This window comes from Homo sapiens, chromosome 3 (assembly GCF_000001405.40).
Source record: "Homo sapiens chromosome 3, GRCh38.p14 Primary Assembly".
In the NCBI taxonomy this organism is placed as follows: Eukaryota; Metazoa; Chordata; class Mammalia; order Primates; family Hominidae; genus Homo; species Homo sapiens.
This window is the reverse complement of record NC_000003.12, coordinates 38,367,637-38,390,369: the sequence shown is the minus strand read 5'-3', so window position 1 is coordinate 38,390,369 and position 22,733 is coordinate 38,367,637. Positions and strand designations below refer to the sequence as shown.

The following is a 22,733-nucleotide window of genomic DNA, read 5'->3' as shown; positions in this document are numbered from 1 at the left end:
TGGTGGTGGGCACCTGTAATCCCAGCTACTCAGGAGGCTGAGGTAGGAGAATTGCTTAAACCCAGGAGGCAGAGGTTGCAGTGAGCCGAGAATGCACCATTGCACTCCAGCCTGGGCCACAGAGCAAGTGAAACTCCATTTTAGAATAAATAAATAAAAATAAATAGTAAAATAATAATAAACCTTAATCTAATAAAAGACATATAGTTCCACTTCCAGCTAAGATGATGATGGTCAAGAAAGAACACATTTGTGCTGTAACAATGACAGAATGGAATAAACAACAACAACCAGAGCATCATATTTTTGCTTGAAGCTATCAAAAAATTGTAAATTCAAGAAGTCTAAATAAAATAAATTCCAGAATGAGATGAGCCCTTAAGTGCTGATTCATACCTGCAGCATGGGAGACATGAAGAAGTAAGACTCTACAGGCAGATAAAATTTGCTAGAAAAGAAAAACAACTACATTTGGGCTGGTATGGAGGACTGAAATCTGGAAGAGTCTCCAATATAGAGCTAGTCCTCCCTACCCACCAAATGTCTCCAGTGAACTACTATGGAAGCAGTGATGTGGAAGTGGGGGAAGAGCTGGAAAACAGAGAAAGAGCTCTGTAATCTCAGTGGTTAGGTCCCAAAGACTTGATGGAGGGAGGGGCCTGATCCTGCTGATCCTGATCCCAAGACACTGCAACTACTGGTGAACTAAAACTAACTAGTACTGATCCAACCCCTGATTAAACAAAAAAAAACCCGGCCAGCCGCCCCGTCCGGGAGGGAGGTGGGGGGTCAGCCCCCGCCCGGCCAGCCGCCCCGTCTGGGAGGGAGGTGGGGGGTGCCTCTGCCCGGCCGCCCCTTCTGGGAAGTGAGGAGCCCCTCTGCCCGGCCACCACCCCATCTGGGAGGTGTACCCAACAGCTCATTGAGAACGGGCCATGATGACGATGGCGGTTTTGTGGAATAGAAAAGGGGGAAAGGTGGGGAAAAGATTGAGAAATCGGATGGTTGCTGTGTCTGTGTAGAAAGAAGTAGACATGGGAGACTTTTCATTTTGTTCTGTACTAAGAAAAATTCTTCTGCCTTGGGATCCTGTTGATCTATGACCTTACCCCCAACCCTGTGCTCTCTGAAACATGTGCTGTGTCCACTCAGGGTTAAATGGATTAAGGGCGGTGCAAGATGTGCTTTGTTAAACAGATGCTTGAAGGCAGCATGCTCGTTAAGAGTCATCACCACTCCCTAATCTCAAGTACCCAGGGACACAAACACTGCGGAAGGCCGCAGGGTCCTCTGCCTAGGAAAACCAGAGACCTTTGTTCACTTGTTTATCTGCTGACCTTCCCTCCACTATTGTCCTATGACCCTGCCAAATCCCCCTCTGCGAGAAACACCCAAGAATGATCAATAAAAAAAAAAAAGAAAGAAAATTATCAAATCTTTATTATTTTAATTCTTTAGTAAAATAAAGGAAGTATGCCTTAATAGGCCTAAACTGTGGGTGTTCTCATTAAAGAGGTACACTGTAGAGTCCCAAAATAGTCCTCTTTAGAAATATTTTAACATTTTAAGCCCTAATTAAAAGAATAAAGTACATATTTCAAGAACAAACTAGTTCTGAGTCAAAAAATAAACCTCCCTGACAAAATATATAGATCATGTTGTGGATATAACATAACAATTGCTAAAAATACATTTTTTAGATTCCTGTTAAGCCCAGTGATAAAAGTTACTATACAAAAAATTAGAAAAGACAAAATGAAGAAAGTAAAAACCAACCCTAGTTACACCAGAGTTACACTGTTAGTATGCTGTTATATAGGCTTCTAGACTTTTTTTTACTTATTTTGTTACTTATTTAAATTGACAATAAAAATTGCACATATTTATCCTATACAACATGTTTTGAAATATGTATATATTGTGGAATGACTAAATTGAGCTAATTAACTTATGCATTACTTCACATACTTATCTTTTGTGGTGAGAACACCTAAAATCTCTTGGCAATTTTGACGAATACAATACACTGTTATAAACTATCATCACCATGTTGTACAATAAATCTCTTGAATATGTTCCTGTACCCTAACCAAAATTTTTAATCCACTGACCGACATCTCCGCAACCCAGCTTTTTTACTATATACATTTTTAAAAATAAAAATTAAATGATAAAAGTAAAAAAAAAAAAAAAAAAAAAACAAAAAAAAACCACCACCTCACCCGCACTTCCTGATAGAAGGGCAAGCCTTTTCTGCAGGTAAACATTAGCTATTTATTTAACAACTGCATGTGAATCTACAATTATCTCAAAAGTAAAAGGTTTAAAAATTAGCCACTTTAGTCAACACCGTACTTTTAAACACAACGTACAGCATTCAAACAAAATTAAATAGCATTTTAAGAAGCAGGAAATGGCAGTAAAATAGTAAATAAAAGCAGACTCTGAGATGAATTAGCAGATAGGAGCTTTATAATAATTATAAAGATGATATAAAGTCAGAGGAAGAGATGGACAAAATGGTTAAAATATGAAAAATTTCAGCAGAGACATAAGAAAGTATAAGAGAATGAAATGGAAATTCTAGAAATAGAAAAAATATAATATCCAAAATGAATTTGTTAGATGGACTTAATAGCAGACTGTCTACAGCAGAAACATGAATAAAAAGAGGTGTGATAGAAATTGTCCATCTGAAGTCCGGGCACAGTGACTCATGCCTGTAATCCCAGCACTTTGGGAGGCTGAGGCAGGCGGATCACCTGAGGTCAGGAGTTCAAGACCAGCCTGCCTAACATGGTGAAACCCCATCTCTACTAAAAATACAAAAAATTAGCCAGATGTGGTGGCGCTTGCCTGTAGTCCCAGCAACTCAGGAGGCTGAGGCAGGAGAAGCGCTTGAGCCCAGCAGGTGGAGGTTGGAGTGAGCCGAGATCATGCCACTGCACTCCAGCCTGGGCAACAGAGCAAGACTCTGTCTCAAAAAAACAAAACATAACAAAACAAAACAAAAAATGAACTTGTCCAACTGAAGCAGGGAGAGAGAGAAAAAAAAAAAAGAATAGAAAATCAAAGTCCTATGGGACAACAGCAGATGTGTAACTGAAGTCCAGAGGAAAGGAAAGAGGGAATAGGGAAAAATAAATATTTGAAGAAATAATGGCTAAGAATTTTCCAAAATTGATGGAAGACATTAACCCACAGATCCAAGAAGCTCAGTGAATCACAAAGGGGATACATACAAAATAATAATTAAAAAACCCTTACTTAGGTATATCATAATCAAACTGCTGAAAATCAAAGATTAATAGAAAAATCTTAAATCAGCCAGAGAAGAAAACCCCATTACATTCAGGAGAATAACATTAAGAATGACAGTTAATTTCTTATCTGAAACATTAGAAGTCAAGAAAACAATGAAATGACATTTTCAGAGTGCTGAAAGTAAAAAGTGCCAACCTAGAATTCCACAGCAGAAAACATTATTTTAATATGAAGTAAAATAAATACATTTTCAGACAAAGTAAAACTTAAGAGAATCCACTTTTTATAGATGTTCTACATTCCTTCCTGAAGCTCTGACTTTCCATCTGGTATGATTTTCCCTTTAGCCCGGAAGACATCCTTTAGTCATTCTTGTAGTGCAAGCATGTTCGTAAAAAATTCAAGTGTATAATATTAGTGCAAACCAGACTTTTCAAATTAAGGATTTCAATTTAAAAATCAATTAAAAAGTGTATACCTTAAAAAGCCAACAGAGGAGATAAAATGGAATACTAGACATTGCTCAGTTAATCCAAAAATAAGACAGGAAAAGAATAAGAAAGAAAAAAGAACATATAGAACAAAAGAAAAGAAAAAGAAAAATTGATATGTAATCCATTTTGTAAATGGATGGATTAAAAAAATAAAAAATAAATGGATAGATTCAATTAAATCCAATCATTTCAATAATTACATTAAATGTAAATGGACCCTTCCCTTTAAAAATATTTATTGCCTGTCTACCTTCCTACCTTTCTTTTTTCTTCTTCCTTCTCTAAAAAGCCATTAAATAGGCAAACAGAAGTGGCTCAAGGGCCACATGTAAGTACATAACCAGAGTGGGGCAGATTCAAGAGGCTGCTGGAGAGACGACACAGAGACAACACAGGTAAGGGTAAGCAGAGAAGCCAAAATGGGGCTTGCATGTCAAGGAGGCAGCAATCTGGAGGGGTCAGAAGAATCAACTTTGTCACTGTTAGGATAAGATACAAATATGGGAAGGAAGAAAGCCAGAATGAACCCCATGGTGTTGGACTGGAAGTAGAGTGTATAGGGTTGAACTCATGTTTTTCAACACATGGAGAAGTAGACAGACAGACAAATAGAAAGGTAACGTGTGTATTGATACAGACATATATATATTTGGATATGTATATATATATCCTAATATTTCCCAGCTCAGCCCACTGAAAGGGGTTGTTATATATCCTTACATATTCCCAGCTCAGCCCACTGAAAGGGGCTGGGAACAGCATCATCCCAGTAGCAATGAGCATCCAGAGAGAGCATCCAAACATCTCTCCCACTCAGAGAAGTCAGGGCCCCTTGGATAAATGGAAGATTACAAGGCTGATCCAAGGAAAAAACAAGATGAGCCTGAAACTTTTTTTATACTAGAAGCTATGGAAATGCTCAAGGAATGATGGAAGATATGTCAAAAGGACGAGGGGCCAGTTTGAAGGACCACTCACTGATGCAGAAAAAGATGAAAATTACTATCTTTTTAGAAATGAAAGATATGTTATGTAAATAAAGTTAACATGTAGCATTCTGAAATGCATAAATTAGAAGTTAATACAGGATAGGAATAAATGAGCTAAAATTTCAACTTAAAAATACAGAAAAAGAAAAAATTCATAAAGTAGAAGGAAAGCATTTAAAAAGATAAAATTAGAAATTAATAAAAGGGAGCACAAAACAAAATATTAACATTGCTTAATAAAATATACCAACCTTTAGCTAACATGCTCAAGGGAAAAAAAATACACAAACAAGAATGAACTAGGGACAAGGGTATAGGGCATAGAATGAGATGGTGAAAGTGGAGGTTACAATCCCAGCACTTTGGAGGCCAAGATGAGTGGATCACGTGAGGTCAAGAGTTTGAGACCAGCCTAGGCAACATGGCGAAACCCCGTCTCTACAAAAATACAAAAATTAGCCAGGTGGTATGGCGCGCACCTGTAATCCCAGCTACTCAGGTGGCTGAGGTGCAAGAATCGCTTGAACCCGGGAGGCGAAGGTTGCAGTGAGCTGAGATTGTACCACTGCACTCCAGCCTGGGTGACAGAGTGAGACTCTGTCTCAAAACAAGAACAAAAACAAAAACAAAACAAAACAAGAAATAATCTTAATGTCCTTCAACTAGGGCTATAAAATAATTTATCAGACCTCATGCCAGTCATTAGAAAACAAAAAGGTAGACCTGTACATACTGTTATGGAAAGCAAGTCTCAGAATAACACATAGAATGTAATAGCATTTCTGTTAAATATATACACACACACACGTGTCAGGTCGAACCATATGAAATTGCCATTTTTGTAAATCAAAACTTCTTCAATATTGGCAATTCCGTATGATTCAATCTAACACAGAAACTCACAGGAAGGAAGTCACAGTCTGGAAAGAAGGAAAGGAGTCTGGGAGGCAAATGAAGGGGGCATTTGCTTCTTATTCCATATTTCTGTTTTGCATGAATCTTTTGTGATAAAAAGACATCCATTCGTTATGTATTTTAAAACAAATAGTTGTTTTTAAGACCTGCTGCTTTCCATCCAGCCCCTTGGCTCTGTCCAGAAGAAGACATTCAGCCCCCACCTCTCAGCTTCTCCCATCTTCATCGCTGGCCGTGAAGACAGTGTCTGGGAAGAGAGAAGGACTGCCATCCTCCTGGGGAAATAATTCAAGCTATGGAAGATGCTCTAGTGTGATTCCACGTTGGAAAACCAAGAACAATGGCCAGGCACGGTGGCTCACACTTGCAATCCCAGCACTTTGGGAGGCCGAGGCAGGTGGATCATTTGAGGTCAGAAGTTCGAGACCAGCTTGGCCAACACGGTGAAACCCCGTCTCTACTAAAAATACAAAACTAGCTGGGCGTGGTGGTGTGCACCTGTAGTCCCAGTTACTTAGGAGACTGAGGCAGGAGGATCACTTGAACCCGGGAGGCGGAGGTTGTAGTGAGCCAAGATCACACCACTGCACTCCAGTCTGGGCAACAGGAGTGAAACCCTGTCTCCAGAAAAACAAAACAAAACAAAACAAAGAAAACAAACAAACAAAAAAAACAAGAACACCCTCAGTGCCCAAATGCAGGAAAAGTAACCTGGCCATCATACGCAGCACCACAAAGATGACTTCTGACAAACTTTGGTTCTTGTATACACCCTTTGCATATAAGGTACAAAGGAACAAAACTATGGCTGTATGGAAATAAGCTCATAAAGGAGACTGGGAGAAAATGTCCCTAAATGATACCAGTGGTTGGAGAGAGGGGATGGGATTATGAGTCATTTTCCTTTATTTTTTTGAGACATGGTCTCGCTCTGTCGCCCAGGCTAGAGTGAAGTGGTGCAATCACAGCTCATTGCAGCCTTGACCTCCCAGGCTCCAGCGATCCCCCCGGCCTCCTGCCACCCCTGCCACCCCACCCCCAGTAGCTGGGACCACAAGCACATGCCACTATACTGGGATATTTATAATTATTATTATTTGTGAAGATATGGTCTCTCTGTTGCCAGTCTCAAACTCCTGGGCTCAAGTGATCCTCCCGCCTCCACCTCCCAAAGTGCTGGGATTACAGGTGTGAGCACCAGGCCCATTTTCTTTATTTTTCAAACTTGTTATTACAAGATTTGACTGTTTTTACAATCAACCTAAACAACATGAAACACACTGAAATATAAACTGAAAACTATGGCTTATTAGCCCTGCCCAGCTGGTTTCTATCATGTCTGATGGTGTCTATAAACATCAAGAGGGCGATTGTTCCTTAAAAAAAGCAGGTTCAGCCAGTGGTTGAGAATCCAGCATCTGGAGCCAGACTGGCTTGGTTCAGATCCCAGCTCTGCCAGCCCTGACCAAGTTATTTAACCACTGCAAGATTTGGTTTCCTCGGTTGTGAAGTGGGAATCATATCAGTACCTACTTCAGCGGTACTGTTGTTAATAAAGATTAATTGCTAAGGAACTGGGCCGGGCACACACTCAGTGCCCAACAAATGCTGGCAGCTGTTAGTATCACAATAATCATTTTTATTCAAAGTGCCTCTTTATTGCCCTTAGACACTATTAAAGCCAAATGAGATGATGTCTGGGCAAGAACGAAAGAGCTGGCCAGTCCACACAGCAGCCTGGAGAATGAGTCCTCACGTGCGTGCAACCTCTGTTGGTTCCAAGTATGTCTATTTAAGTGATCACTCAGCAGAGCGGCAAGACAGGTCTGATTCTGCATTTAAGCTTGCTAAGAGGATAAGTAACTCTATGCTGTTTTGCACAAGAAATGCCTTAGAGGCTGGGAATAATGCCACAATCCCATCAGCTCCTCCTGAGCCCATGGGGGCCTTTTGCCCTAACTGCTTCTCCCTGTATGCTGGGCTGTTCCGTTCCCTGGGGTTCTCTTCTGACAGCCGGAGGACCCCTGCCAGGCACTCCACCAACTCCAGCACCAACCCTGCCCTGCTCACCCAGTCTCATTTTCAGGGAACTTGGAAGTCTTTGCAGACCTTTAGGAAACGTCTTTTTACACTTAGGGTGGTGGGATGAGGGCAATCAGAATGCTCATGGTGGTCATTTTACACATGTTAAAATCTTGTATTGACCTAGAACACACATCCTGAAAAATGCACACATCATAAGCCTATAATGTTCATAAATTTTTAAAAACTAAACACACCCATGGAACATGAAACAGAACATTGACAGCACCCCACAGGCCCCTTCTGAAAGGTAACTACTAATTATCCCGACTTCCAACAATAGTAAATAGTTTCATCTGCTTTTTTTATTTTTTTTGAGACAGGGTCTCATGGCTCACTGCAGCCTCAACCTCCTAGGCTTAAGCGATCCTCCCACCTCAGTCTCCTGAGTAGCTGGGACTACAGGCATGTGCCACCACGCCTGGCTAATTTTCGTATTTTTTGTAGAGAAGGGGTTTCACCATTATCGGGGAACCTGCCCCGATAATCACGTAGGTTCTTTTCCATTTTTCCTAAGCATCGGCTGGCTTGAGAAACAAAGGGACAGAGTACAAAAGAGAGAAATTTTAAAGCTGGGTGTCTGGGGGAGACATCCCACGTTGGTAGGATCCGTGATGCCCCACAAGCCACAAAAACCAGCAAGTTTTTATTAGGGATTTTCAAAAGGGGAGGGAGTGTGCGAATAGGTGTGGGTGACAGACATCAAGTACTTAACAGGATAATAGAATATCACAAGGCAAGTGGAGGCAGGGTGAGATCACAGGACCACAGGACCGAGGTGAAATTAAAATTGCTAATGAAGTTTCGGGCACCATTGTCATTGGTAACATCTTATCAGGAGACAGGGTTTTGGGATCAACCAGTCTGACCAAAATTTATTAGGTGGGAATTTCCTCTTCCTAATAAGCCTGGGAGCACTATGGGAGACTGGAGTTTATTTCATCTCTGCAGCCTCAACCATAAGAGACAGGCTACGCCCAGGGGGGCCAGTTCAGAGACCTACCCGCAGGCGCACATTCTCTTTTTCAGGGATGTTCCATGCTGAGAAAAAGAATTCAGCGATATTTTTCCCATTTGCTTTTGAAGGAAGAGAAACATGGTTCTGTTCTGCCCAGCTCACCAGCAGTCAGAGTTTAAGGTTATCTCTCTTATTCCCTGAACAATTGCTGTTATCCTGTTCTTTTTTCAAGGTGCCCACACTTCACATTGCTCAAACACACATGCTGTACAATTTGTGCAGTTAATGCAATTATTACAGGGTCCTGAGGCGATATATCCTCCTCAGCTGACAGGATCAAGAGATTAAAGTAAAGACAGGCATAGGAAATCACAAGGGTATTGATTGGGGAAGTGATAAGTGTCCATGAAATCTTTACAATTTATGTTTAGAGATTGCAGTAAAGACAGGTGTAAGAAATTATAAAAGTATTAATTTGGGGAACTAATAAATGTCCATGAAATCTTCACAATCCACATTCTTCTGCCATGGCTTCAGCCAGTCCCTCCGTTTGGGGTCCCTGACTTCCCGCAACACACCATGTTGCCCAGTCTGGTCTCGAACTCCTGGACTCAAGCAATCCACCTGCCTCGGCCTCCCAAAATGTGGAGATTACAGGTGTGAGCCACTGTGCCTGGCCTGTAGTGCCATCTGCTTTTGAATTTGATGTACAGAGACCCCTGCCATATGTATGTCCATGTTTGGCCTCTTTTGCTCAGTGTTACATTTGGTGAGATTCACCCATTTCATTGTGGATCACTGAGGCTGGTTCATTTTCATTTGTGTGTAGTATCCTGTTGTACAAATGCACCACAATGCATTTTTTCTGTCTACTATTAATGGGCACTGGGCCACTTCCACTGTGGGGCTATTCAGCATAGTACTGCAATGAATGTTCTCCTGTACATCTTTAGTAAACACATGCAAAAATTCCTGTTGTGCCTTTACTTAGAAATGAGATTGCTGGGTAGGCGTATATTCAGCTTTAGCAGATGCTGTCTAACAGGTTTTCTAAGAGGTTTCCCTAATAGGTATTTTTATAGTATCCTTTTACTCAGTTGATTCAAAGGTATAAAATATATATTACATAGAACTTGGATTGTCCATAGAGTATCATAGGAAGGCCCTCAAGCAAAGCAGCTTCACTATCTTCTCTAATGACAACAGCTATAGCCCAGAGAGACAAATACATCTTAGAAACCTGGACTCTATAGGCGGCCAGTCCAACCTCCTTACAGACCCTTAGACCATTCCAACGCCACCTGTAAGGGGAACTCACTGACATCCTAATGCTGATTATTCTACAGCTCAAGTTGTCAGAAATCCCTTTCTCCTCCTTTTGCCTCCCCCGGCCCTGGGTCTGCCCTCTCCATGCCAGTTGCTATGGTTTGAATATGTGTCCCCTCCAAAACTCATGTTGAAGCTTTATCTCCAACATGACATATTGAAAGATGGGACCTTTAAGGAGATTGGGTCATGAGGGCTTTATGAGTGGATTAATCCATTCATGGGTTAACAAAGTAACAGGTTAATGGATTAACGGGTTATCGTGGGAACGGGACTGGTGGCTTTCTGAGAAGAGGAAGGGAGACCTGAGCCAGCACACTCAGCTCCCTCACCATGTGATGCCCTCTACCTCCTCAGGACTCTGCAGAGAGCCCTACTAGCAAGCAGGCCCTCTTCAGATATGGCCCCTCAACCTTGGACTTCTCAGCCTCCATAACTGTAAGAAATAAATTTCTTTTCCTTATAAATTACCCAGGAACAGGTATTCTGTTATAGGCAACAGAAAATGAACTAAGACATCAGTCTTCCGAGTTTTGACAGTGGTACTACATCCCCCTCTTCCCTGTCCAAGCTGAAAGACCCAGACTGTGTCCCACAGGCAATGGGACCTGGCCAGGCTAGAAGGCCAAGATCCATTCATGTCCCCAGACCTTGCACTGCCTATGTCTTTGCAGTCCAGAGCTCAGGACAGCTCATCTGCAGCTTGGAGCTTAGGGTTTCAGAAAGACCATTCCGAAGTCTTACAGGTCCTGGCCAAAAGGTCAGGCTATTGTGGACACAGCTGAGAAGCGGGAACAACCTGTCTGCTATTCTATGCTTGCCTACAAGTGCCAATTGACACTTTCTCACCCCATCCCTGAGGTCAGGCTCCACCTCCCTCCTGCACAAGTCCCCCTGTAAGAAAACTTTAGTAGATATTGCCCCACTAGCCCTGGCCCCTGCGAGTGAGCTGGCCCTGAGCCCCCACCCCGGGACACATGCTGCCAGTGGCTCACTTACTGACTCGATAGCCCAGGCCTTCTGCGTGAATCCTCTTGGCCATGAATTGTCCTTCAATTAGTGCTCGAACCTCCACATCCCCAGGGAATGCTGCAACCTGTCTCCAGGAAAAGGTGGGCACAGAGTAAGGAACTCTCATTGTCCATTCGTGTGTGTATGTGTGTGTCTGTGTGTGATCTTTTTAAACAACAGCCCAGATTTGAAACTCATAGCTGGGCTCTTTAACCACTATCTTTGCCTGTCACACACACTCACACAAACACACTACTCAAGCACACAAGCTCACAGCCTCACATGCATGTCACTTTGAAGAGAGTCAAGAGACATTACAGAACTTAGTCTCAGGCAGCTGAGAGTTCAAGTTCTGTCTACCATTCAGCTCTGCAATCTTCAATAAGTTACATTAGTCTTGCTATCATTCTTTTTCTTAACAAAACAGAGGTAATAGTGGCGCCTGTTTTTTAGGGTTGTTGCAATGATCAGATTAGACAACAGAGCCTGGAAAATGCAGTACATACTAGATAAGTGAGAGCCACGAGCTTACGCTGAGATCCCACCCCTGTGGCATGTCCTTCAAGCTAGCACTGATGGGCATCAACCCCAGGCTCACTCCTGCTTCTCTGGCACCTGAGACCAATGCTAGAACCTGCCGCCATCCCCCTCATAAACAGCTACACTCTAACCTTACTGACCTTCTTCTAGTTCCCAAGCTGCTCCCTCTGCCTGAAAGTCTATCCTACTCTTTCCATGGTGAGATCCTGAGTACTTTCAGGTCTCAACCTAAAGGCCACCTTCTCAGAGACGCCCAGGCTTGATCACCCCACCCAGGGTAAGTCTCCAACCCGCCCACCAGCTGCTTTCCTTTGCGGCACTCTGTTCTTCTGCAACCTAGCCTTAGCACCTGCTGCATTCATGTACATGCTCATTCAGTCGTCTACTGTCCCTCTCCCTCCTAGACAGCAGGCTCTGGGGAGCAAGGGCCACCAATGTTTTGTTCTCCTTTGTGTCCCCGGTGCCTGGCACCAATCATACATATCTGCTGGTTGAATGAATGAATGAAGAACACTACTTTCTCCTTGACAAATCTAGGATTGATATGCATGAAAGAGAACAGGCATAGCTTCTCACTCTAACAAAAGAAACCAAACTGATCCTCCATCAGAAGATTGAGATGAACTTCCTACTTTATACAAAGCTTTCCATTCATAATCCAACATGTAGTGCCATCATCTGCCACTGAATCCAACGCCAACTCTGACAGTTACAGTTTCCAGACAGAGTGTCTTACATAAACCCCCCATTTACTGGGGTCAGAAACATCTCTCAGGTACAACCCAAAATGTGGTGATGACTCTCCAGTGACTCTCCAGCAGCAATGTCAATTTTGAGGAGCAAGAACCAACTAAATCCTTCCCGAGAAAGGTCACATTGTGGAGGAGAAAGAAAACAGCAGCTTCAGAGCCAGAGAGGAATGGGTTTGAGCCCCCTCCACCATCTATGACCTTGTGACTCTGGGCAGATTATTTAGCCTGAGCCTCTGAGTCTCAACCTCTCCATCTAGAAAGAGGAACAATAGTGCCTATTGCTTTGAAAAGTAAATGATAGCCGGGCATGGTGGCTCAAACCTGTAATCCCAGCATTTTGGGAGGGGGCGTATCACTTGAGGTTAGGAGTTCGAGACCAGCCTGGCCAACATGGAGAAACCCCTATCTACTAAAAATACAAAAATTAGCCAGGTGTGGTGGCTTGCATCTATAATCCCAGCTACTCAGGAGGCTGAGGCAGGAGGATCGTTTGAACCCACGAGGTGGGGGTTGCAGTGAGCCGAGATCGTCCCGCTGCACTCAAGCCTGGGCAACAGAGTGAGACTCCATCTCAAAAAATTAAAAAAAAAAAAAAAGAAAAGTAAATGAGGAAGGTATAGAAAACCATGAGCACAATGCCTGGCACCAAATGGGCTCAATAAACGTTAGTACCTCCTGGGCTCAGCAGCTCTTTCAACCAGGAGGAAATTCATGATCTCAAGATCCATGGGTTCTTGATGGGTATAGGATAAAACTCGCCAAGGAAATAAGTTCTGTGATACACAATGATAGTGTTAGCATTTGTTAAATAGGAAGAGAACTCTCAGGTTTTCTGCATTCCTCCCTGAGGGAAAGGACCGTGTCTGTCTTAGGTCCTGCAGATTCCCCAGGATCTAGAATGCACCCTGGCACACCACAAGTGTGTATGATATTAATGGATGAGTGAATGAATGAAGTCCCTAAAAGTAACATAATTTGATAGGCAATTGTTAAATTTTACACTCACAAATGGAGCCAATGTAACTCCAACACCAACAGCACATGTACCTTGTGGTTTTCTGTGTTAAACCTATGACGTCCAATAATTTCAGGGGTGATCTCCATTACATCAAAATAAAAACCTGAAATAAAACCAGGAAGAGATCAGCCGTCATTAGTCAAAAAACAAAAGATCAGCTTCTTAACAGACTTAGAACAGGACAAAATGACCCCATATCCCTGGGTCCCCTGGCTCTTTCATCCCCCAGATGAGACCTGTGAATATTCTCAGTTCCTTCTCTCCAACAGGATAGAAGGGAACCAGGGAGCCCTGAGCTAGCTTTTCTCAAAGACAACTCTTCCTGCTCTCACTTGGCAGCCTGGAATAGGAAGCAGCTGCCCAGCCAATCCTAAAATATCAAAACAGGTTTGACCAAGGGAGGCACAGACCCTCCCTGCTCAGGCCTGCCCAGACACTGGGGACTTTTCCTTGTGCCTGGGGCAGAGGCTGTGAACGGGGATGCACCAGGGTAGAGGCTGCCCTCTCTGATGCTGTCACCAGGGGCTTGGTGGGGACAGAAGACATAGCTATGGCCTGATGTTCTGCTCAGAGCAGAAGCCAAGGACAGCCTTACAGCCCCACCCTTGCTCAGAACACAGGGTTCCACACCAGCTTGTAGGATGTGTGGAATATAAGTGCAGACAGACAGGACTCCCCTGGACTTCTCCACGGCCCTCCTCTCCCCCAGCTCATGGGGCCCCAGGCTCTGCCCCTCCAGTCGGCAGCTGCTGACCCTTCACAGGCCTGGGCACCACCAACTGGCCTACCCAGGTTTCCACCGTTGCCCATCTCTGTGGACTGCAGTGCCTTAGAGAAATCGCTCCAGGAACGGGATACAGACTCGTTGCGGATCTTCTCTCTCATGAGGGAGCCATTTTTAAAGCTGCAGAAGAGGGCATAGCTCTGAGGGAGGGAGCTGGTGCTTGCTGACTGGACCCATGAGTTTCAGTGAAGAGACTCAGGCAGAGGAACTGCAGGTCAGGCTGGACCACGACCCCTAGTCAGTGCACAGCAGGCTTTGAAACTTAGGTATCGGAGGCTCTTCCTCAGATTCAGGCCCCTGAATGTCCCTGGGAGGTGCCGGAAACGCCCTTGTCTTGGGCTGTTTACACAGGAGGCTGACACAGAGGAGCCCCAGGTAGAGACAGGGAGCTTGGGTTTCTGCACATTCTACCATGGGCACAATGAGGCAGGGAGGGCTAGATTAACTAGCCACATTCTCCAATGGTTCTTAGGGCTTAGGAGCTCAGAAACCATTTCCCTCAGGAGCTTTGGACAGGTCTCCAAAGGCCTGTGGTCAGAGCACAGAGCATGTCCCTTCCATGAGAGCCGTCGGGAGGCAGGATGTCCTTCCCGCCATTTGCTGAGGGTCCACCACATGCCAGACGGGTCACAGTAACAATGTGAGGTAAATGCTCTTACCCTCCCCATCTCATGAGGAAAGTGTGGCTCAGACATGCCACACTACAGAGTTTGCCCAAGGTCACACAGGATATAGCTGGTGAGGATAGAATTTGAACCTGGGCTTGAAGGACACAGGGTCTTGGGTTATTCCCCACCCAGCTCTGCTGTCAGCAAGAGCTGGTGAGTCCTTGGGGGTCTCAGTTGCCCAGCAGAGCCCGGGAAAGTGGAGGGAGTCATTCCAGAGCTTAGTGGAATGACTTGGGGTCCTCAAGATGGTGCCAGACCTGCCCACACCTCCTCACCCAGGGAATGGTGCCAACCAACACCCAAGCTCACCACAGGAGTGCCATGTAGTGCTGGGAGTCAACCGGGTTGCAGAAGATGTGGCCTTCCAGGGCAGGCATGGGCTCTTGGAGCCAGAGAAACAGGGTGTCACTGGTGCCCAGGCTGACCTGAGGAGAGATAGGCAGAGGTGGGCACCTTGGGCTTTGCCCACACACGCTGCCCTCTGCCAGCGACGCGCTGTACTCCACCCACCTTAACCCTGTCACTTCACTCATGCTGCAGACCTCAGATGCAAGGCCACTTTCTAAGAGCCACTTCTGACCCTCCCATACCAGATGAGCCAGGAGTTAGCTCCCCAGATGCAGATCTCATGGATCTTCTGTGCTGATTTCCCACAACTGCATCTAAATAATGGTTTGGGTGATGGCTGGTTCCCCATATGACTTTCCCACTAGAAGTAGGAATGTCTGGGTTATGTCTTCCTTATTCATCTGCGCTGCTCACAGCCCTTTGGCCCCACATCTGACCCTCTGCCACTGCATGCACTAAGACTGGCCACTGTGAAGCAGGCAGGGGTCCTGCCCATCTAGCAAAGAACAATGACTTTCTGAGAAAGATGTGCGCCCCCATCCCCTCCCTCCACTGTCTTTTGGAACCGGCAGACACTCTGATAAGTAGCAGAGATCCTGCTGGGACCCAGACCCTGGGACCCTGGGATCTGGGTCTCAGCAGCACCTCTGCTACTTATCAGAGTGTGGGTGTGAGTGTGGAAACAGAAAGAGCCTATGGGTGTGGGAAGTCGCCTTACCGCAATGTCACCTTCCTCCAGTCTCATGCCTGCCAGCGACGCTGAGAATGGGAGGGGAGCTTCTGGTTAGCTGGCGGCCACATGGGAACCACAAAGCAAACCACAGGGCTCTCCAGGCAGGCGCAGAGCCCCCACCTCCAACCCCCACCCACACCCTAGGGTGGAGGCAGGAGCAGGGGAGCTGAGCGCTCAGGAGGCCCTAAGAGGAGAAGGTCATAGGGGTCACGGGGTGAAGTCTCTGTTAGCAGGGCCGCTGATTTGAGCTGTGAAGTCTCTTCCCTGAAGGGGTCCAAACATCCCTCCACTGTCAGGCACTTCCGAGAGTGCAGAGAATCAAGGAGGCCAAGACAAGACACCAAGGATATACAGCAAAGAAAGACAAAGGCAGTAATGGAAAAGAAGGGGGTGAGGTTATGTTCACTCTCTGTGCCCTGCCTTAGACACAAAGCCCACAACAGCAATCTTTTTTTTTTTTAAGAGATATATAGGTGGGGTCTCACTCTGTCACCCAGGCTGGAGTGCAGTGGCATGATCATAGCTCACGGCAGCCTAGAACTCCGGGATCACGCAATCCTCCCACCTCAGCCTCCCAAGTAGCTAAGACTACAGGTGCACACTACCACACATGGCTCACAACAGCAATCTTTATCTGCCTTGATTGCTGAAGGGCCCCAGCACTGAAGGAAGGCCTGGCACATAATAGGCACTCACTAAATGCTGAGTGAATCAACATGTGAATAAAGGTGAAATGGGAGTGAGGAACAGGTGCACTCAAACACTGCCACTGAGGTTCAATCAGCAGTGTGTGTGTCAGAAGCCTTGGATCTAGGAATCCCACCTTTGAGAACTTATCCTATAACAACAAAGAGACGAGACCGAATGTGAATCTCAACATCGTCTGCACTGCCCAAACACTGAAGCAACACCACCCTCCATCCATCAGGGACCAGTGAAATAAATGCTGGGACAACTGAGCTCTAGACAACTGTTAAAATGAGAAAGATACTGCCCAGGTTGATTAAAAGAAACAATGCTTATTTATGAGCACAGAAAGAAGACTGAAAGGACAGAAATTAATCTTTCTGATTAAGGTTAAAATTAACCTTTCTAGTTACTGTTAAATGTAACCCTAATCTGGTGGATCGTTAGAAAAAGACTTACTTTTCCTGGGGTGGGGGTGAGGTTGAGGGGTAGTAGTTAGGTTGTTATTCAGTGTAGCCCACCTGGCCTTCCTTCAGAGATCCAAGGGCCCCTCCAGGAGTGGCTTCAGGGCTACCCAGAGGAGAGGAGGAGGAAGAGAAGAGGCTAGGGAAGGAGATGAGGTGTCTGGACGAGAAACAAGTCATTGCTGCAGATCAGATGACAGGGCAGAGACTTAAAACCATGTCCTAGAGGAAGGGTTGGAGGAATTGAGCTATTCATCTTGAAACAGAAAAGACAGGTTAGGGATGGGGTGGGCACGACTGCCTTCCATAATCATTGGGCAGTTTTCATCCAGAGAGAGCAGACTGACCAGCTCCTGAGGGCAGAGTCGGAGCTAAGATGGGGCAGGTACAAGGAGTCAGATCGCAGGGTGGGAGTGGTGAGGAATGACCACAGAAGGCTTCACCAAGAGGCTGGACTGGAATTCTCAAACATCCAGCATGGGTGGGGGTGGTGAGGAATGACCACAGAAGGTTTCACCAAGAGGCTGGACTGGAATTCTCAAACATCCAGCATGGACCCAGTCAGGCTCACTGGAGAGTGAAACTCCCCGAGATACTCACCTGGGTTGTCCCCAGTGAAGGCCACCACTTTGCATCCTGGAGGAAATCCGTAGCGCTGGACGTAGTAGGAAGAAATGGCTCCCTGAGGGACGGGGACAAAGCAAAGGTGCTCTGTTGAGGTAAATCCCGCCTGCCCAGCACAGCCACCCACCCTTCAGGCCACGAAAACGCTACAGTCTCCAGGTCACCAGACCTGAAGGAATCTTTTGCAGAGCCTGGAGTCACATCACTTCCTGTCACAAACTGGGCATGTCCCTCCTGTTCACAAATCGCCAGAGAAGTCCAGTGCAGGTTTGGAAACCACGAGCATGAGGTCATTTCAAAAACTGCTGATCTTGAGATTTAAGATAGAGAGAACAAACCAACCCCTAACTTGTGCTTGCTTTATAAGCTCCAAATTCTGGATATAGCATTAAAAAAAAAAAGGTAACAGGACACCAGTAAGCAAACTCATGGGAGCAGATAATGCCTCACACACTCACTCTATCACCCCAGTGACTGGATTAACAATAATTGGACGTGAACGTGCAGAGAGCAATGTTCTAAGGAAAGTAATCCAAAAAAGACAGAGTGCAGGGAGGGCTATCTGAGCACTACCTGCAAAAAGAGGGATGACGAAAAACATGGGTCTTGAGTGGTTCCCCCACATGTGACACCTACGTGACAAATGAAAATGCCTTTTCAGAGTCAGTTCTTTCCCGATCCTCAAGCTGCTTGTCTGCACAGGCTCCTTCTTGGAGGCATGTGTTCTCGCACAAGGCAAACAAAGCCTGCTCTGAATTTCACATCCAACTAAAAGCCGTGTGTGGATTACCAGTCCCGGTGGCTTGGCTGTTTTCTGTCTGCCCTTTCTCTGCCTTTCTGACCTGCGTCAGAAAGCGGGTCAGAAAGCTGTGCTGTCAGCTTCCACAGGGCCACATGGCTGTTCCTTCAGCTCCATGCACTGGCCTCATGGCATACTTTGGATGCTGATGGTTTGGCTTTGACATTCTGCCTCATGGTGGCAGAGGCTGTTTTCAGCATGTCAGTGTGAATCATACAAGAAAAACGGCCGAGCACGGTGGTTCACACCTGTAATTCCAGCACTTTGGGAGACTGAGGCAGAATTGCCCAATCTAAGCAACATAGTGAGACCCTGTCACTACCAAAATAAAAAAAAATTAGGCCGGGTGCGGTGGCTCACGCCTGTAATCCCAGCACTTTGGAAGGCCGAGGCGGGCAGATCACGAGGTCAGGAGATCGAGACCATCCTGGCTAACACGGTGAAACCCCGTCTCTACTAAAAATATAAAAAAATTAGCCAGGCGTGGTGGCGGGCACCTATAGTCCCAGCTACTCGGGAGGCTGAGGCAGGAGAATGGCGTGAACCCAGGAGGCGGAGCTTGCAGTGAGCCGAGACTGCGCCACTGCACTCCAGCCTGGGTGACAAAAGCGAGACTCTGTCTCAAAAAAAAAAAAAAATTAGCTGTGCATGGTGGAGCAAGCCTATGGTCCCAGCTACTCAGGAAGCTGAGGCAGGAGGATCACTTGAGCCCAGGAGTTGGTGGCTGCCGTAGCTATGATCATGCCACTGCACTCCAACTTGGGTGACAAGGTGAGACTCTGTCTCTGAAAAGAAAACAAAAGTGCTTCTGTGGCTGAGACTCCCAACGCGAAGTCCTCACAGCAGCCCCTCCTCCACATGGCCCAAGATTCCCAGTTACACGACTCCCTCCAGGCCTCAGGGTGCCCTTGTCCCTTCTTCACACCAGCACTCTGTCCCACCCAGAGTTCCTTCTGGTTGTTCTGGCTCTGTGGTAAGCATTTCCCACCAAAGGGCCCCAGGGGCAGCACCCAGATCTTTTTCTCTCTCTCTCTACTCCACTGTCCCCACAGGACAATGGAGAACAGGGCTGGCCAAGTAGAACACCCCAGGGCATTCACAGCCAGTGTCCACTGCAAATGGGTGGGGCCGCTGTGATGGGTAAATGTTTTTCCCATTACCTGTGGGACCAGGCACTATTTTTTAAGTGCTTTAAAAGTATTAACTCATCTAATTTGCACAACAGCCCTGTAAGATGAATAGCATCATTCCCCTTGTTCCAGATGAGGAAACCGAGACACAAAGTCACAAAGCTGATAGAACCAGAATTCAGTCCCATGCTGTCCAGTGCCAGGGCCTGTGCTGTGCCAGCCCCGCTGGTATTTCTATTTTCCCCAAGGCTGCCTCCTTCAAGCTTCATCAGTAGTCCCTAGAATTTCAGCACTCTGTGCACTTTTTCTTTAGCTATGCAATCACCTGCCATTTTTATCCCTATTCTAATAAATTTCTAGTGGAATTTTCCAAAGTCCCGCTGACCATAAGGCATGTACCTGAGCACCTACTGTGTGCAAGGCACTGATCCAGACACTGACTTACATCTTAGGCTAAACTGAAGACCCTGCATGTGTATGCCTGTGGGTGAGTGAACAAATAAGGGTGTGTGCAGAGTGTGTGTGTGTGTGTGTGTGTGTGTGCGCTACAGTGCTTCCCTGGTAGCTGCCAGCTCTTAAATGAGCCACATCACCAGAAAGGAGACCTACCACAACTGAGCATGATGGTACTGGTGGGCTAAGCTTCTCCTCTAAATGAGGTGCACAGGCACCAAGGCAAGCCTGGGACCAGACTTTATCCTGTATCTGCAACAAATTCATTCCAGAACCTGAGGAAGGAAGGAAACAAACAACAGACAATCTTGAAAATGGACCTTTTGTGAAAATGCACAAATCTGGCACAGAGCAGATAATTCTCTTGCCACAACTTGTACCTGGAGCTCTTTCTTCATGGAAGGTATATATGCTTGTGTTGTTCTAGAACCAGAGAACCAGAGACAAGAGGGGCCCTTGGAAACACACGGCACCACACCTCCTCCAAATATTCCTCATCAACTCAAACACTACAGTTAGCTTGGAAATCTGCTGCTCAAAGACCTCCCAGGGGGCCTGGAACTAGCAGCAACACACTGACCAGGAACCACTCTCCATGTCCCTTAGGTTTCCAGGTCAGCTCCCAGGGATTTCTCAATCTCATCTAACTTTTCAAGGAAAGGTCTCAGAGTCCTCTAAACTTCCTTCTGGTCACTGAGATCAACCTACTAGCTCTTTCCTAAAACATCCTCCTTCTCCCAAGGCTTTCCTGAGGATGGGAAAGGACAGGGAACCCAGAGCATGGGTGGAGAGAACTCCTCCTCCACTGGGCCAAGGTGGAGGCAGACAGAGGTGGGCTGGGATGCTGATGGTGTCACCTGCCCAGGTGAAATGAGGAGGTGACATCTCAGGTGAGTGAAGGGGGGCAGAGTGGAGGGCCCAGCTGTGGCTAAGGAACATAAACCTCTGGAATGCCCCCCGGAACAGCTGCTGCGGTTATCAGCTCTGTGGCAGGTGTGCAGAACGGGTGGACATGCAGGCTACTCCAAGTTGACTGTTCTGCCTGTCTGAGTTCTACAGAACTAGCTGTAGGGAACCCTGTTGCCTCCTCCAGATTGTGAGGGAAGCTTAACAGCACTCCTTAGTCACTCTCTCTCCTGAAACCAGAATAAAGCCTGGCATACAACAGCCCTCGAAAACTTCCCATGAATTCCCACGAGGCTCAGAGCATCCCAGGCTCCATTCTGAAGCCATATCCACGGCTCTGGGCTCCTGCCCTGCATTCTCTACCCCCATTCTGTCCACACTCTTCTCACACTTAGGCTCATCCAAGAGTTCCTGCAGCAACCTCCTCCCAGCTTTCCCTCCTCACTGGCATCAACTGCAATTTATTTTTTTCGGGGTTTTGATTCTAGAAGCTCACAAATCTCATGAGTTCACCAAATGTGAAACAAAAACTTTAATAGCTCCTTGCAGGAGCCAGGCTCCATGATCGTCCCCTACTGATCCCCACCTCCTGGTGTTCACCCCTTGTGAGGTTCTCCCCAACATTATACTGGGTCAACCGTACCTAGTGTGTGACCAGTAAGATGAGACAAAAGTGATGGCACATCACTTCAAGATTAGGGTATAAAAGACTCCTCAGCTTCTGCTTGGCCTCTGTCTCCTCCCTCCCTCTCTGCAGTGTCACTAACAGCCACATGTGAGGAACTGAGGCCTCTTGCCTGTAGTCATGTGCATGATGCTGGAAATGGATCCTCCAGCCCCAGTCAACCCTTCAGATGACTGCAGCCCCGGCTGCCAGCTTGACTGCCACCTTGTGGGAGATCCCGAACCAGTACCTCCAAGCTAAGCTGCCCCCACATTCCTGACTCTCAGACACTAGGTGAGAAAATAAACACGGTGGTCTTCAGCTGCTAAGTGTTGGGGTCATTTGTTATGTGGTAAAAGATAATGAATACACTTCCTTCCTGGCAACAGATGACAGGGCTACAAGATTGGCACCCACTCGGGGTAGGTGGGGCTCCCACTGCTTGCACACCCACATGCCACATGCACACTGCCCAGGCACCCACCCCATACCCCGAGGCTCACCATCACTGTAGTCAATAGGGGAGTAAGAGCCAAGGAACAGGGAAGCAGCAAAGCTACTGACCAAAGAAATTCTCTGTAAAGGAAAGAAACAGTGAGAGGTGCCTCACTTCCACATACCCTACGCTACTGAATGCTTCTGACACACACAAAGCATGAAAAAAAATTGGAGAGGGAAGTGGAAACTTTGAACAAAAGGCCCAAGTAATGGTGGAGACTGTGCATCTCAGATAGGAGCAGCTGGAATACCATGAGCAGACTCCTCGGGAGAGCATTCATTCTCTACAGTTTCTGATGGGCCATAAAACTGCCAAGTTCAAAAGAGACAAAAACCAAAAGCCCTATGAGAAAGGGCTTAGGGAAGCTGCATTTCCATCCGGAATCCACATGCTGGGGAATGTGTGCCCTGATTTCCTTCCTCTATCTCCTTGGCATTTCCTTCTGGTTACAAGGGAAGTGGATGTGTGGCCTCAGAACCAACCAGGACACTCTCAGGGCGTCAGGAAAGCTGGCTCCTCAGAAGCCACAGACCCTGAGCACTAGCCAGAGAAATAGATGATGGATTTTCAATGCCACCCTAAGGGTCTGTACTTCCACATGAGAATCATGGGCCTTTGGAACTGT

At 46.2% G+C, this 22,733-nt stretch overlaps 1 protein-coding gene across 18 annotated transcripts in view, besides 1 other annotated feature; it reads right to left on the bottom strand.

Moving 5' to 3' along the window:
- Positions 1 to 22,733, bottom strand: part of XYLB (xylulokinase) — a 106,257-nt gene that overhangs the window by 62,672 nt on the left and 20,852 nt on the right. For 13 of the 18 annotated variants that reach the window (XM_011534327.3, XM_011534329.3, NM_001349178.2 and 10 more), the window contains 8 exons: positions 22,113 to 22,185; positions 20,196 to 20,314; positions 17,634 to 17,715; positions 15,868 to 15,908; positions 15,111 to 15,226; positions 14,138 to 14,253; positions 13,379 to 13,452; positions 11,028 to 11,124 (listed from right to left, as the gene is read on the bottom strand). In XM_011534327.3, the coding sequence (XP_011532629.1) occupies positions 11,028 to 11,124; positions 13,379 to 13,452; positions 14,138 to 14,253; positions 15,111 to 15,226; positions 15,868 to 15,908; positions 17,634 to 17,715; positions 20,196 to 20,314; positions 22,113 to 22,185 (718 nt within the window). Of the gene's footprint in view, positions 1 to 11,027; positions 11,125 to 13,378; positions 13,453 to 14,103; positions 14,254 to 15,110; positions 15,227 to 15,867; positions 15,909 to 17,633; positions 17,716 to 17,826; positions 17,968 to 20,195; positions 20,315 to 22,112; positions 22,186 to 22,733 lie in introns of those variants that run through there. The other 5 variants (XR_001740393.3, NR_146068.2, XR_001740394.3 and 2 more) reach the window with 5 other exon arrangements.
- Positions 15,899 to 16,400: an enhancer, noted in NCBI's record as "H3K4me1 hESC enhancer chr3:38415461-38415962 (GRCh37/hg19 assembly coordinates)". NCBI's record gives its function as "activates a minimal SCP1, AML or CMV promoter by ChIP-STARR-seq in primed H9 embryonic stem cells {active_cell/tissue: H9 hESC(primed)}" and the evidence as "EXISTENCE:reporter gene assay evidence [ECO:0000049][PMID:30033119]".